General features: G+C 43.0%; 1 protein-coding gene across 1 annotated transcript in view; it reads left to right on the top strand.

The window, feature by feature from the left end:
- LARGE1 (LARGE xylosyl- and glucuronyltransferase 1) overlaps nucleotides 1–17217 on the top strand; it is an 856162-nt gene that overhangs the window by 788481 nt on the left and 50464 nt on the right. The gene's annotated exons all lie outside the window — the stretch shown is intronic.

The raw sequence follows: 17217 nt of genomic DNA, 5'->3' as shown, positions 1-17217 counted from the left end.
GAGCTTGCAGTGAGCAGAGATTGCACCACTGCACTCAAGCCTGGGCGACAGAGCAAGACTCTGTCTCAAAAAAAAAAAAAAAAAAAAAGGGAGTTCTTTGTGAGTGCAGACTATGACATGGGTAGACTTACAGCCTGTACTGGCACAAGATCATTCATTGACTTTAGAAATAAATGCATCAAGTTTCAAATTTGGTTTGCTGGTTTACGGGGAAGTTAACTTTCCTGAACCTCTCTAGTTCCTTTGGTTCCTTCATCACAGCACTCATCCTAGTGTAGGACTGACTTAGTTGAAGGAGTGATTGTCTTTGATTTTCATTGTACTGCAAATTTTTGTATTTATTTAATCTCCCTGAACATGGTTTTTTCTTAAATATGCTTATTGAATTATTAAATGCTTTATGATCACTATGAAAAATAATATATTGAAGGCTTAAAGTGAGAAGTCATCTTTAACCCAGCACACATTCTCTTTATAAGTGCCCTGGCTCAGAAACAACAGATGCTGGAGAGAGAGGTTGTGGAAAAATAGGAATGCTTTTACACTGTTGGTGGGAGTGTAAATTAGTTCAACCATTGTGAAAGACAGTGTGGTGATTCCTCAAGGATCTAGAACTAGAAATACCATTTGACCCAGCAATCCCATTAGTGGGTATATACCCAAAGGATTATAAATCATTCTACGATAAAGACACATGCACACATATGTTTATTGCGGTACTATTCACAACAGCAAAGAGTTGGAACCAACCCAAATGCCCATCAATGATAGACTGGATTAAGAAAATGTGGCACATATACACCATGGAATACTATGCAGTCATTAAAAAGGATGAGTTCATGTCCCTTGCAGGGACATGGATAAAGCTGGAAACCATCATTCTCAGGAAACTGTCACAAGATCAGAAAACCAAAAACTGCATGTTCTCACTCATAAGTGGGAGTTGAACAATGAGAACACATGGACACAGGGAGGGGAACATCACACACTGGGGCCTGTCAGGGGCAGGGGACTAGGGGAGGGATAACATTAGGAGAAATACCTAATGTAGATGACGGGTTGATGGGTGCAGCAAACTACCATGGCACGTGTATACCTATGCAACAAAACTGCACGTTCTGCACATATACCCCAGAACTTAAAGTATTAAAAAAATAAAAATAAGTGCCCTGGCACAGGTAATTGTTTCTTCTTCCTACAGGACCCAGTAAATTTTCTCCATAATCTCCTGAAATATTTTTTTACTATATGAACAATCCCTTCTTCAACATCTTCCTCAAAGGAAAAACTGTTTCATCTCTCTCCAGGAAGAAATAAAGGAGGCCTAATTTCTTCAATGGCCTTAGTCTTTTAGAAATAAAAACCAATAGGGGAAATACCTTTAAAGAAGCTTCTGCTTCCTACCTTGCCCTAAATGTCCCAGGACACAATAACCAGAGCCTAAAAAAGAAAGTATAAGACGGGAAACAATAAATTATCGTCTTAAAAGTGTATGTTACATGCACGATAATAGATGAAGAATTTCGTTTTCCCAGGGCAGTCTGGAAGTGATGTGGTGAGAATCAAGGAGGAATAAAAGAAGCAAATGATTTGCTACTTGAGGAGGGTGGACACATCAAAGAAGGACCAAAGAATCTGTGGTTGCTGAAAGGCCAGAAAAAATCTTAGACAACCAGACTCCCTGTAATAAATTTTAATTTAAGTGCTGTGTGTTCTATCATACATGAGGAGTTATTAGGCTGATAAATCAAAAGTAAAAACTCTTTTGCTTCATAAAAACTTGAGCTTCCAAATTAAATTTTTAAGTACAAAAATACTAATAATGACTTTTAATTCAACATTATATTTAAATAGTTATGGAGGCCAGAAGCAGTGGCTCATGCCTGTAATTCCAGCACTTTGGGAAGCCTAGGTGGGAGAATTTCTTGAGCCCAGGAGTTCCAGACCAGCCTGGCAACATGGTGAAACCCCGTCTCTACAAAAAACACAAAAATTAGCGAGGCATGGTGGTGCACGCCTGTAGCCCCAGCCACTTGGGAGGCTGAGGGGGGAGGATCCCTTGCGCCAGAAAGGTCGAGGCTGCAATAAGCTGTGATTGTGCCACTGCAATCCAGCCTGGGTGACAGAGTGAGATCCTGTCTCAAAAAAATAAATAAATAAATAAGTAAATACACAAATAAATAGTTATGAAGGTTGATATGGTTTGGCTGTGTCTCCACCCAAATCTCATCTTTAGTTGTAACTCCAACAATTCCCATGTGTCATGGGAGGAACCTGGTGGAAGGTGATTGAATCATAGGGGTGGGTCTTTCCTGGGCTGTTCTCGTGATAGTGACTGAGTCTTATGAGATCTGATGGTTTTAAAAACGGGAGTTTTTCTGCACATCCATGTAAGATGTGACTTTCTCCTCCTTGCCTTCTGCCATGATTGTGAAGCCTCCCCAGTTATATGGAACCGTGAGTCCAATTAAGCCTCTTTCTTTTGTAAATTGCCTAGTCTCAGGTATGTCTTTATCAGCAGCATGAAAATGGACTAATACAGAGGTGATACGGTTTGGCTGTGTCTCCACCCAAATCTCATCTTGAATTGTAGCTCCCATAATTCCCATGTGTCATGGGAGGAACCCAGTGGGAGGTAATTGAATCTTGGGGGTGGGTCTTTCCCATACTTTTCTCGTGATAGTGATTACGTCTCACAGATCTGATGGTTTTATGAAGGACAGTTCCCTTGCACATGCTCTCTTGCCTGCCACCATTTAAGAGGTGTCTTTGCTTCTCCTTTGCCTTCGACCATGATTGTGAGGCCTCCCCAGCCATGTGGAACTGTGAGTCCATTAAACCCCTTTCCTTTATAAATGACTCAGTCTCGGGTATGTCTCTATTAGCAGCGTGAGAACAGACTAATACAGGAGGCTAGGGAGAGAATAGGCAATGAGACATGAGAGAACATCTGGGAATAGGGATAAAGGAAGGCAGAAAAGGGCCATTAAAAAAGGAAAAACAGTCAAACACAGAATCACAGTGGCACACTGAGAGAGAGAGAGAGAACAGACTCAGGGACAGAGAGGGATGGGGACAAAAGTAGAAACTTTGTAGGTTTTACACGGTTCCTTACCTTGGGCTATAATAGCAGGTTAAAAGAAGGGAAAGCAGTTCTGATATAAGAGATGTATTTAATTATTCTAGTCCTTAAACAGTACACCCACTTGCAAATCTCATAGGAAGGTCTCTTTCACTTTCCTGAAGCATCATGACTTACAGATGAAGTTTTTCGATAGTTACTTTTTTTTTTTTTTTTTTTTTTTTTTTTGAGACGGAGTCTTGCTCTGTCGCCCAGGCTGGAGTGCATTGGCGCGAGCTCTGCTCACTGCAAGCTCCGCCTCCCGGGTTCACGCCATTCTCCTGCCTCAGCCTCTCCGAGTAGCTGGGACTACAGGCGACTGCCACCACGCCCGGCTAATTTTTTGTATGTTCAGTAGAGACGGGGTTTCACCGTGGTCTCTATCTCCTGACCTCGTAATCTGCCTGCCTCGGCCTCCCAAAGTGCTGGGATTACAAGCGTGAGCCACCACACCTGGCCTCGATGGTTGCTTTCTCACCTGTCCCGTTCTTGTCTCACTTGCTGAGGGTCAAGGTGTTGAGGTGAATAGTTCAACACTTTGATTTCGCTGAGTATTTACTTTTCTGATCTCTCCTGACCTGGGGCTAGTGGCCTCATTATTGTTTAACTAGAAGGCAATTGGGCAAGTGGCATTTGTTTTTCTGAAACCGATTTGCACAGATAGCCTGGAGTATGCCCATTGCATGGCCTCTTAGCAAGTGGACTTAGAATTTTTAAAAGACATTATTATTATTAGACAGTGTCTTGCTCTGTCACCCAGGCTGGAGTGCAGTGGTGCAATCTCGGCTCACTGCAACCTCCTCCTCCTGGATTGAAGTGATTTTTGAGCCTCAGCCTCCCGAGTAGCTGGGACTACAGGAATGCACCACCATGCCTGCTAATTTTTTTTTTTTTTTTTTTTTTTTTTTTGAGACGGAATCTCACTCTTTCGCCCAGGCTGGAGTGCAGTGGCGCTGTCTCGGCTCACTGCAAGCTCTGCCTCCCGGGTTCACGCCATTTTCCTGCCTCAGCCTCCAGAGTAGCTGGGACTACAGGCGCCCACCACCACGCCCGGCTAATTTTTTGTATTTTTAGTAGAGACGGGGTTTCACCGTGTTAGCCAGTATGGTCTCGATCTCCTGACCTTGTGATCCGCCCGCCTTGGCCTCCCAAAGTGCTGGGATTACAGGCGTGAGCCACTGTACCTGGCCCTAAAATAGTTTTAGAATGAAATAGAAGTTGCAAAAATAATAGAGCTCACATACGCTTTTAACTTAACTTCCCACGATGATGATACGGTTCGGCTGTGTGTGTCCCCACCCAAAATCTTATCTTGAATTGTAATTCCCTTAATCCCCACGTGTCAAAGGTTGGACCAGGTGGAGGTAATTGGATCACGGGGGCCGTTTGCCCCATGCTGTTCTCGTGATAGCGAGTCTCATGAGATCTGACGGTTTTAAGTGTCTGGCACTTCCTCTGCCTGCACTCAATCCATCCTGCTGCCCTGTCAAGAAGGTGCCTGCTTCTCCTTTGCCTTCCACCATGATTGTAAGTTTCTTGAGGCCTCCCAGCCATGAAGAACTGTGAGTCAATTAAACCTCTTTCCTTTATAAATTACCCAGTCTCGGGCATTTCTTCATAGCAGTGTGAGAACGGACTAACACCGATGACTTTTATTTTTTTAATACGTGCGTATATATATATTTTTTATTATACTTTAAGTTTTAGGGTACATGTGCACAACGTGCTTTACATTACTCTAATACAGTGATCAAAACCGTGGGATTGACCTTGGTATAATAATAAGGTATAAAACCTTATTGCAATTTCACCAGTTTTCATATCCTTTTGTATTTTGCTTTTGTTTCTTTTTTTGAGTATTCTATGAAAATGCATCAGAGTATACATGCATGTAACCACAACTACAATTAAGATAAAAACCTGATTCTTCATCCCAAAGAAACTCCCTCATGCTACCCCTTTGTAATGTCACCTCTCCATCCCTAATTCCTTTCAATCTTTGATCTGTTTTCCATCACTAAATTTGATCATTTTCTTAGGTTACATAAATGGAATAATAGAATGTGTAGTGTTTTGAGGTTATGACTCACCAAATAGAAAATATCAATTAAAAGCAAGCAATTTTTAAATTTTTATTTTAATTTCCGGGGTACATGTGCAGGATATGCAGGCTTGCTACATAGGTAAACGTGTGCCATGGTGATTTGCTGCACCTATCAACCCATCAGCTAGTTATTAAGCCCAGCACACATTAGCTATTTTTCCTGATGTTCTCCCTCCCCTGACTCTCCCCATTGTTGTTCCCCTCTCTGTATCCATGTGTTCTCATTGTTCAGCTCCCACTTGTAAGTGAGAACATGTGGTGTTTGGTTTTCTGTTCCTGCACTAGTTTGCTGAGGTTAATGGCTTTCACCTCCATCCATGTCCCTGCAAAGCACATGATCTCATTCCTCTTTATGGCTGCATAGTATTCCATGGTGTATATGTACCGCACTTTCTTTTCTTTTCTTTTCTTTTTCTTTTTCTTTTTTTTTTTTTTTTTGTTTTTGAGACGAAGTCTCACTCTTGTCCCCCAGGCTGGAGTGCAATGGCATAATCTCGGCTCACTGCACCCTCCACTTCTGGGTTCAAGAGATTCTCCTGCCTCAGCCTCTTGAGTAGCTGGGATTACAGGTGCCTGCCACCATGCCTGGCTAATTTTTGTATTTTTAATAGAGACGTGGTTTCACCATGTTGGCCAGTCTGGTTTCGAACTCCTGACCTCAGGTGATCCGCCTGCCTCGGCCTCCCAAAGTGCTGGGATTACAGGCATGAGCCACTGCATCTGGCCTACCACATTTTCTTTATCCAGTCTATCACTGATGAGCATTTGGGTTGATTCTATGTCTTTGTTATTGTGAATAGTGCTACAAGGAACATACCCACGCATGTATCTTTATAATAAAATGATTTCTATTCCTTTGGGTATATACCCAGCAATGGGATTGCTGTGTCAAAGGGATTTCCTTGGCACATCTCCACACTGTCTTCCACAATGTTGAACTAATTTACATTCCCACCAGCAGTGTAAAAGCATTCCTATTTCTCTGCAGCCTCATCAAAGCTAGCAATTATTTTTAAAAGGAAAGAATAAAGAAAAATAATTTAAAAAAGGTTTTTCTCTGAACAGAACCTCAAACATCTGTGGAACATCATCAAGCATACTAATATATGTATGAGGGGAATCCTAGAAAGAGAAGAGAAAGAAAAGGGGTAGAAAGCACATGAAGAGAGAATGGACAAAATGTTCCAGATATGATGAACAACATTAACTTACAGTGCCAAGAAACTCAACAAATTTCAAGATAGATGTCTGAAATTCTATCTCCCAATATCTCACTCTATGACTCTAGGAAATTCATTTCATCATTTTCTTTCAGAAAGGGATATGTGGTCTGATTTCTCAGTCAGTCAATCATTTTTGCTATGTATTCAAGGTGTGACACTCCTGAAGTGGGTTTTATCATACCCTCCTTATTATTACCCATCCCAGTCCCTTGATCTCTTACCCCTCACTGTCTTCTCCACTATCCTAGAAATAGGAATGTTGTACTTTAAGTTTGTTTAGGGACAGGAATGATGTGGAACTTTAAAAGAGTTGAATATGAGAAAGAACTAGAGATGAAATATTTAAAGAAAAATAAGAGTTCATATTGCTTTCTGTTGTTTATGGTGCTTGAGTAAGTTTTTCTTTTCTTTTTCCTGAGGATTGAGCAAGACATGCCGCCTGGATGGTCAGAAGAGGTAATTTATGCATCATATTTAGTGCGTTTAACTCTGGACTTGAGTCATTGTCTTGTTCAGAATTCACTAGAGATTGAGTTATGTTCCCATTGAGACACACACTCTCACCTGACCACTTGTGCTTAGGAAGAGAAGGGAACGTTTTTCTTAATCCTGGGTTGCTCATTGTCTCACGGACACCTGGGGATTGGATATATAGGAGAAGGCAGCCCCACTGGAGCAGTGCTAGGGAGGGCTGGGCTGAAGAAAGCTGGGTCCTCCTCACTTGCTCCTATGCGTTCCGTTTGATCCAGCAACCACATGATGGGAAAAATCTGTTCTCTCAAATGGAACAAATCCCTCTGTTGTCTCTAGAGGGTGCTCAGAAACCACTGATCCAGACACAAGCAGCTTCAGGACCTAAAGTGAAGAACACTGAAGATCCCAGGAAGGAATAGTGCAAAGAAGGAGAAGAGAGAGCTATGAAATAACAGAATACAGAGCAAAATCCCCCTGCCTTTGGGGAAAGAATCAGCCATCATGGACTCTCTGGCTTGGGCCACAGTATTGCAACCAGCATTTGGCCTTCATCTTCCAATATCTTTGGGGACAGAATTTATCTGTGCATTCCACAGCATCAGGTGCCAGTGGGGTAGCAGTATATGAGAATGAAGCGAAGCAAATATAACTTCCATGAAGTGTGCATCAATTTTGTATGTCACTGTGTTCAAAGTGCTTTACCACACATTATGTCTTGCCCCATAGCAATGCAACAGAATAAATTAAATTTTACTACATACATTTTATAGATGTGAAAGTTGAGTTGCAGAGAAGGTGAACAGCCTGCCCACAAAGAACATAGCTTTTTGGTATTAGAACAGATTCCAAATCCATGATCTCTTCAATATACCACCTAGACCTTTTCTCAGGCTCTGGGGAAGTTCACAATTCAATTCAGCAAGCATTGATTTACATACACAAAGCAAAATAGCAATGCACGATACAAAATTTTTGAATGCAACATATAAAGGTTTATAAAATCAAAGAATTTCATGGCTAAATGTGACCTCAGTGGCCATTTAGTCCAAAACACAAATCAGAGAGTGACTCTTCATCATACGTTAGAAGGGGCCTCTCCAGCTTTGGTTTGAATGTCTTCAATCTCATGGAAACTCCTACTTCAGAAATATATCCTTCCACTGATAAACTGCTCTGTTCGAAAGATTTTCCTCATCTAACCCTAAGTGTGTTCCCTGAAACTTCCAGCCGTGTCCTAAATCCATCCTTTGCAGCCACATAAGCACATGACCATTCTTCATTTTATATAACAGCTCTTCATATATTGTGTGCCCATTAAGCAAACCCCAGCCCTAGGATTTCTTATCTCAAGGTTATAGAAATAATCCAAATTCCAGCCGGGCGCTGTGGCTCACGCCTGTAATCCCAGCACTTTGAGAGGCTGAGTCGGGTGGATTGTCGAAAGTCAGGAATTCGAGACCAGCCTCGCCAACACAGTGAAACCCCGTCTCTATTAAAAATACAAAAATTTGCCGAGTGTGGTGGCAGGTGCCTGTGGTCCTAGCTGCTCAGGAAGCTGAGGCACGAGAATCGCTTGAACCCAGGAAGCGGAAGTTACAGCAAGTCAAGATTGCACCACTGCACTCCAGCCTGGGTGACTAAATAAAATAAAATAAAAATGTATTTAAAAAAGAAATAGGCCTGGCACAGTGACTCACACCTGTAATCCCAGGACTTTGGGAGGCCAAGTCGAGTGGATCACGAGGTCAGGAGATCGAGATCATCTTGGCCAACATGGTGAAACTCCATCTCTATTAAAAATACAAAAATTAGCCGGACATGGTGACATGTGCCTATAGTCCCAGCTACTCAGGAGGCTGAAGTACGAGAATTGCTTGAACACAGGAGGCAGAGGTTGCAGTGAGCCGAGATCATGCCATTGCACTCCAGTCTGGGCAACAAGAGTGAAACTCTGTCTCAAAAAAAAAAAAAAAATTGAAAGCAGGATGTGTACTCGTCTTCACAGCCTCAATACAGTGCACGATACATATAGGATGCTCAATAAGTGTTCCCATTCCTCCTTGGTAGTAATCTTGTCAATTTTTTTCACATATGTGTACCCAGCACCTAACCAAATTCTGATTATAGTTCTCAAAAAATATTTGTTGAATGAATGCCTGTGTCAGTAACTCCACATGAGGTAGGAGGCAGGCGGGACTCATCTCCAGACCAGACTGAAGACTGGCAGAAACCAGGAAGGGGTCCTGAAAGCACCTCCAGTTGCTCTCGCTGCCCATCCCTATAAGACACTACCACAGTTTACCGACACGTGGAGATGCCTGAAGTTACTACCCTTTGCCACGGCAATACCCAGAGAGTTATCACCCATTTTCTAGCTATTTCTGAGTAGAACTGCCTCTTAATTAGCATGTCATTAGAAGTAGATATAAATATGACCGCAAACCACCCATATGTTGTTACTCAGTTCACTGCCTATGCGATAGCTTTGCTCCACAAGGAGCAGTCACAGAGACTTGACACTGCTGCCACTTCAGTAAAGCTGCTTTCTTTCATCACCAGCCTGCTCTTGAATTCTTTTTTTAAGTAGGGACAGGATCTTGCTATGTTGCCCAGGCTGGTCTCGAACTTCTGGGCTCAAGCAATCTTCCTGCCTGGGCTTCCCAAAGGGCTGGGATCACAGGTGTGAGCCACCACGCCCAGCCTTGCTCTTGAGTTCTTTCCTGAGCAAAGCCAAGAATCTGCCCTGCATCGGTGATGAGTCAGCCAGGAGTGAAGAGAGGATGGTGGTCAGTGATTGATGAGGCAATGGTGAGAGATAATGGTTGGTGAGATAGTGAGAGATGGCAAGAGACAGCAAGCAGTGAGAGAGACAGCAAGAGGCAATGATCAGTGAGACAGCGAGAGATGGTGAGGAAATTGGTCATCAAAACTGCAAGAGCAGTAACACTAAGACTGTAATACCAAAGAGCTGCTAACACTGCAGAGAGGTGTAACATCAACCAAAGGCTCTTTTCAGAGCCATCATTTTCCTTCCTCCCTTCCTTCCTTCCTTCCTTCCTTCCTTCTTTCCTTTCTTTGTCTCTTTGTCTCTTTCTCCCTTTCTGTCTTTCTTTTCTTTTGAGATGGAGTCTTGTTCTGGTGCCTAGTCTGGAGTGCAGTGGTGCGATCTTGGCTCACTGCAACCTGCAACCTCCGCCTCCTGGATTCTCCTGCCTCAAGTGATTCTCCTGCCTCAGCCGCTCGAGTAGCTGATATTACAGGCACCCACCACCATGCCTGGCTAATTTTTGTATTTTTAGCAGATATGGGGTTCCACCATGTTGGACAGGCTAGTCTAGAGCTCCTGACCTCAAGTGATCCGCCCCCTTATGGCCTCCCAAAGTGTTGGGGTTACAGACGTGAGCCATCGTGCCTGGCCAGAGCCGTCATTTATCCTGGCAGGCAGTGGAGCCAAGAGGACAGGCAAGTGGCCAGAGCACCGCCTGATGTGGGACCTACCAGGTTGCTGATCTCCACACTTGTTCCCCTCTAGCAGCCAAGCCCACCCAAGCTGGGGGTCACCTAGGCAGGCCTTCACCCAGTTCCACAAGCCTGGCTGGCACCATTTTGGCTCCTGCAGACAGTTGTCTCCATTGCCAAGTAGGTTCTGTGGTGAATCCGAGCTTCCAAGGTCTCCCCTTGAGAAATGCTGTTCACCCCTTCCCTTCCTCCCTTCTGTGTTTACTTTCTGTTTAGCCCCTCTCTGCCCAAACTAAGATGCTTTCATTGCTCTCTGTAGAATTCACTCTCGTCATTCTACTACCCATTCATAGCTCATAATTGGCTTTTGTAATGCTTTGCTACCTATACTTACACCTTCTTTGCAAAAAGTGAAAATTTGAAAGGAAAATGTGACTAAGCTTTTGCTAGACTTAGACTAACTACAAAACTCCTGTAGAAATCCTTACTAGACATGGGGACAGCAGTGAGCATCCCATAGGCCTTGCCACCGGGATGTCTTTTAGGCAAGTGGAGGAAATTCAAATCTGATGATTTAAAGAGGAAAAAAACCTCATTTTCCATGGCAACACTGAGTCGAATACAAATTGGGGAATCAACAAATTTGGCCTAGAAATGGCTCTTTATGTTATAATGCTATTTTACAATTAGATTTATTCTGTAAAAAGAAAGGAAAATGGGGAGAAGTTCCTTATGTGCAGGCTTTATGGCCCTCTACCAAGATCCTGACCTAAGAGATAGCTGTAAAATGTGTCTGGCTCATAACACCTCTGGCACCAAGAAGCTACCCCAGATATCCTGGATTACCCCTTCCTAGCTGCTCCAGCTAGAACGCCTACAAGCCCGCCTTGGAGATTCCTCAGTCCTTCAGTTCTAAGAAGGTTCCCACCAGTTCTCTAGCACAGGATTCCACTCCAAGGTCATCAAGAACTTCTCCCCCTTATCCAACAGATCCCAGCCTATGCCCCCTGCTGCCCAAGGAAGCAAGCCCAACCAGTACCACCAGCAGTAGGGTCCCGTATCAGCCCCTCAAATCAAACCTGTGTCCGTATCAGCAGGTAGTTGACAGAGATGGTGGAAAAATCAGAATATATGTACCTTTTCCATGTCCAATTTGGCTTTATGCAAGAAAATGTGGCCAGTTTTCAGAGGATCCAGGGAAGTTTGTACAGGAGTTTGTTAAATTGGCCATGTCCTTTGATTTAAGGTGGCATGACATGCCAATATCATTATCCACTTGTTTTGCCATAGAAAAAAACAAAACAGGCTGGGCACGGTGGCTCAGGCCTGTAATCCCAGCAATTTTGGAGGCCAAGGCGGATGGATCACCTGAGGTCAGGAGTTCAAGACCAGCCTGACCAACATGGAGAAACCCCGTCTCTACTAAAAACACAATAATTATCTGGGCATGGTGATAGGCACCTGTAATCCCAGCTATTCAGGAGGCTGAAGCAGGAGAATCGCTTGAACCCGGGAGGCAGAGGTTGCAGTGAACCGAGATAGCGCCATTGCACTCCAGCCTGGGCGACAAGAGTGAAACTCAGTCTCAAAAAAAAAAAAAAAAGAAAAAGAAAAGAAAAGAAAAAAAGACTCTAGATACTGCCCACGAACATGCAGATGGAGTGGCTACTCGTAACCAAGGCCATACCATTTACTGTGTGGAGGGGGGTGAGGCAGTTCCAGATCAATTCCTAAGATCTTGAATGCAGAAATCACATACTAACTCATTTAATAGAAGGCATGAAAAAGTATGTGGTCAAGCCAGTTAATTATGACAAGATTAGAGAAATAACTCAGGGGAAAGATTAAAATCCTCTGACAGAAACACAATCCAGATCCTTAATTTTCTGGGAAAACAAGGTGATATGGTTTGACTGTGTCCCCAGCCAAATCTCATCTTGAATTGTAGCTCCCATAATTCCCACGTGTCATGGGAAGGACCTGGTGGGAAGTAATTGAACCATGGGGGTGGGTCTTTCCCATGCTGTTTTCATGATAATGAATAAGTCTTATGAGATCTGATGGTTTTATAAAGGGGAGTTCCCCTACACAAGCTCTCTTGCCTGCTGCCATGTAAGACATGACTTTGCTTCTCATTTGCCTTCTGCCATGAGTGAGGCCTCCCCAGCCATGTGGAACCGTGAGTTCATTAAACCTCTTTTCTTTATAAATTACCCAGTCTCAGGTATGTCTTTATATCTCACACATTAGCAGTGTAAGAACAGACTAATACAGAAGGGTACTGGGTATCTCCCCACAAGGCCCAAATTTCTGCCCAAAGGGTGAAGTATCTGAGATGTGTGTTTATTCCTGGGACAAAAACCTTAGCCCAGGAATAGAAAGAGACCATTCTGGCACTCCAGCCCACTCAGACTAAGAAACAGTTAAGTGCCTTTTTGGGAATGGCCAGATTCTGCCATATTTGTATTCCCAGGTTTGGGATCATATCAAAACCACTCTATAAAGCTCTAAAAGAGTGTGATCACAAGCCTTTGAATTGGGACAGAACCTCACAACAGGCATTCTTAACCCTAAAAGAAATGCTGGGAACATGTCCCAAACCTTTCACTCTCTATGTGACTAAAAACAAAGGACATCTTTGGGTGTTCTAGCTCAAAGGCTCAAGAATAATCCTAAACCAGTGGCTTACTTTTCTAAACAGCTAGGCCAGTTGGCAGCTGGGTGGCCAGGATGCTTTTGAGCTGTGCCCACCACTGCTCTGTTGGGGGAAAAAAACAAAAGGCAGTAAATTTACCTTGGAACAACAATTAGATGTCATTATCCTTCCCCCAACCAAATACAGGGGGTCCTAGAGGCAAAAGGACATCAATGGCTAACAGGTAGTCAGTTGTTTAAATATCAGGCCCTTCTGCTTGACACCACAGATGTTACCTTAAACTATGTCAGGTTTTAAACCTGCTACTCTGTTGCCAGACTTCACATCCCAAAAAGCAGATCCCCAGCTCATTTATTCCTCTGTGGAAACCACAGATCAGACCTATTCTAGCAGGTCTGACCTCAAAGATGAGCCCCTGCATAACCCTGGTATTGAGCGGTTTACAGGCAGGAGCAGCTTTATTCATGAGGGAGTAAGAAAGGCAGGCTGTGGTTGGGCATGGTGGATCAAGCCTGTAAGCCCAGCACTTTGGGAGGCTCAGGCAGGCAGATCACCTGAGGTCAGGAGTTTGAGACCAGCCTGGCCAACACGGTGAAACCCTGTCTCTACTAAAAATACAAAAATTAGCTGCACGTGGTGGCAGGAGCCTGTAATCTCAGCTACTCTGGAGGCTGAGGCAGCTATTCTGAATCACTTGAACCCAGGAGGTGGAGGCTGCAGTGAATCGAGATCATGCCAGTGCATCATGCCGCTGCACCCCAGCCTGGGTGACAGAATGAGACTCCATCTCAAAGAAAGAAAGAAAGAAGGAAAGAAAGGAAGGAAGGAGAGAAAGAAAGAAAGAAAGAGAGAGAGAGAGAAGGAAGGAAGGAGAGAGAGAGAAAGAAAGAAAGAAGGAAAGAAAGAAAGAAAGAAAGAAAGAAAGAAAGAAAGAAAGAAAGAAAGAAAAAGAAAGAAAAGAAAGAAAAAGAAAGAAAGAAAGAAAAGGCAGTTTATGATGTGGTTATCCAGCAAGAAGTCATGGTAGCCAAAGACTTACTTTTCCAGATTTCCACTCAAAAAGCAGAATTAATTACTCTAATTAGGGTCCTCCAATTGAGAAAAGACTTAAGAGTGTATATATACATATATATAGACTTAAGAGAGTGTGTGTATGTATATATATTTACTCTTAGGTATATAAAAAATATACTTTTTTTTACTGCAAGAGTCAATATATTTACTAATTTCAAATATGGGTTCCTGGTACACCATGCTCATGTGGCCATATGAAGAAAAAAGGAGACTATTAACAGCCAAGGTATCCCCCATATAACATCTCTCTGAGATCTTGGAATTTTTAGCTGCTGTTCAGCTCCTAAAGGAGACAGCAGTTATCTACTGCAAGGGACATCAAAAGGAGACACCTCGATTATCAGAGAAAATGCTCTGGCAGACAGGGCAGCCAAGGCCACAACTGAAAAAAATACCAGCATTACAGGTCACTGCATTAATACCAGGCACTCCACACGTGTCAGTGGCACCCTACAATACCCTTGAAAAAATTAAGTGGGCAGAACAGAAAGGCTTACAAAAAGACCCCTCAGGGTGGTTGCCAGAAAGCAACAAACTCTTTCTCCCTGGAGCTAAGCAGTTGAAAATAATGAAATATTTCCATGACTCTTCACATTTGGGACAGGAATCTATTCAAATTGGCTTCTCAAATCTTGGGAAAGAAACTGTTCTAGACCATGGGAAAAAAAAAAGTCATCAGGGCCTGGGGACTTTGTGCCCATAACAGGCCAGGAAGCCACCCCATGCCGCCACCCTACTCAAACCTATAGAACACTGAGAAACATACCTTGGGGAAAACAGGCAAATAGATTTCACCCAGATGCCACTTTATAGGGAACTAAAATATTTGCTAGTATTCATATGCACTTTCACTGGGTGGATAAAAGCTTTCCCTAGAAAGACCAAAAAATAAAAAAAAATATATAAAAGCATTAGAAATGTCCAGATTCTTACTTAAAGAGATCATCCCAAGATTTGGGTTACTAAAATATTTGCAAAGTCATAACGGACCTTCCTTCACAGCTAAGGTGACCCAGCAGTTTTCCTTAGCTTAGACATTACCTATCATCTTCACTCCTCCTGGAGGCCTCAATACTCTGGGAAGGTAGAAAAAGCCAGCCATATTTTTAAAAGGACATTAGCAAAACTCTCGAGAGACCTCAGAGGCCCAGTTCCTCTCCTACCCATAGCCCTTTTGCTCCAAAGGAAACCTTAAAGCTTAGTCCATTTGAAATGACTTAATGGAAGTCCCTTGTTAACTTTAGACCTCCTGTTTGATGAAGAGACACATAGATTGTTCACCCACATTGTCAACTTAGACGAGATTCAAAAGGCCCTTCAAGAATATGGAAATGTAGTATTGCCTCCTCCCACAGGGGAAAAAAATAAACTCTCCCATTCAACTAGGAGACTTAGTCTTACTGAAACCTTATAAAGATGGATCCTCTGAGGATCAATTACAACCAAAATAGAAAGGTCATTATCAGGTGGTATTGAGTACCTGCACTACTGTTAAACTCCAGGAAATAACTGGTTGGGTACCAAGATTAGACCTGTTTCTTATGAGTCACATGTGCAAAAGGAGGATACCACAGCCTACATCTGTGAACCTTTGGAGGACCGCCACTACCTATTTAAAAGAATCAACACTCAGCCAGAAGTGGTAATGAGATACTGTGGGTGGGAATTGTCCTTTTTTGTCTCTCTTCTTCCTGTCTGTAATACCTCTTTTCTTTTTTTTTTTTTTTTCTTTTTTCTTTCTGAGGCAGGGTCCCTCTCTGTCACCCAGGCTGGAGTGCAGTGGCATGATCATGGCTCACTGCAGCCTTGACCTCCCAGGCCCAAGCAATCTTCCCACCTCAACCTCCTGTGTAGCTGGGTCTGCAGGTGCATTCCACCATGCCCAGCTAATTTTTTATTTTTATTTTTATTTTGTAGAGATGAGGTTCCATGATGTTGCCCAGGCTGGTCTTGAACTCCTGGGCTCAAGCGATCCTTCCACTCTGGCCTTCCACTCTGCTGGAATTATAGGCATGAGCCACTGTGCCCAGCCATAATACTTCTTTTCTAATGCTTTGTCCAACTGCCTCCTCCTGAGAAACATGTATTTTTTCCTTGCTGGGATATAGTTTGGATGTGTGTCCCCACCCTGCCTCTGGTCCTAATTTTATTATACAATCCATTTATCCTTTCTCTCTGCCTTGGTGCATCCTCAGATTTGATTAGAGAGCCATCACTGCTCTCAAAAGAAACAATGATCAAAAGGTTGAACTGCACAAAGTCAAAGCCAGGACTCCTTAACTGAGACCATTTTTCCAGGCTGACATGGGCCCATTAGTCAACATTCTCAGGACACAGCCCTTCAGTTATGATTGCACTTAGCAGTAGTGCCACCAGCATTTTGCCATTTGTTCACAGAGACATAATGAGATTTTGGTAAATGCCTCATGAAAATCCACATGCTCCATGGGTCCAGTAATCCCCTCAGTCATTCATAAATAAACAAACAAATAAATAAGGTGATTTTGGTACAATTTGTTCTTTGTAAACGTCTGATGCCTCTTTGTGAGCACTGTTTTATTTTCGAAGTCCTCATGTACCATCTTCTTGATGTTCCTGTCTATAAACTCTCCTAGAATTTCCACCAAGCTCACCAACTTATAGCTTATGACTTCGATTTTCTTTCTCTATTTGGAAATGAAAATGTTTTCCTGTATCCTGACCCTCCCCAATCTCCTCAATGTCTCTAAGACCCTCTAAGCTGTTCAAAGAGATTAAGCTCCCCTAGGACCCTCACATGTTAAAAAAAAAAAAAAAAGTTAATAATGTGAGAGAAGTGCTTACAATATCTATGACTCAAGGTAGCATGGGTGTTGTTTGTCCAACATCCTTTACTCTGAGGATCTGCAGCAGACTGTGTTAGCAACTCAATGCCATCCTCCCTTCTATGCTCTTCCATGTATCAAAGGGGCCAGAAACCTGTGACTGTGAGCCACATATCCCAGAATCTCTGAAAACTAGAGTCTGCCAGTGTGAGGAATTTACACAAGTTTTGGAAGACCAGAATTAGATAGGTAAGTAGGAAGGTAACTAGGAAGGTAGATGATTGATAGACAGAGAATCACTG

Source organism: Homo sapiens, chromosome 22 (genome assembly GCF_000001405.40).
Source record: "Homo sapiens chromosome 22, GRCh38.p14 Primary Assembly".
Classification (NCBI taxonomy): Eukaryota; Metazoa; Chordata; class Mammalia; order Primates; family Hominidae; genus Homo; species Homo sapiens.
Note: the sequence above shows the minus strand (reverse complement) of the source record. Positions and strands in the feature narration are given on the sequence as shown.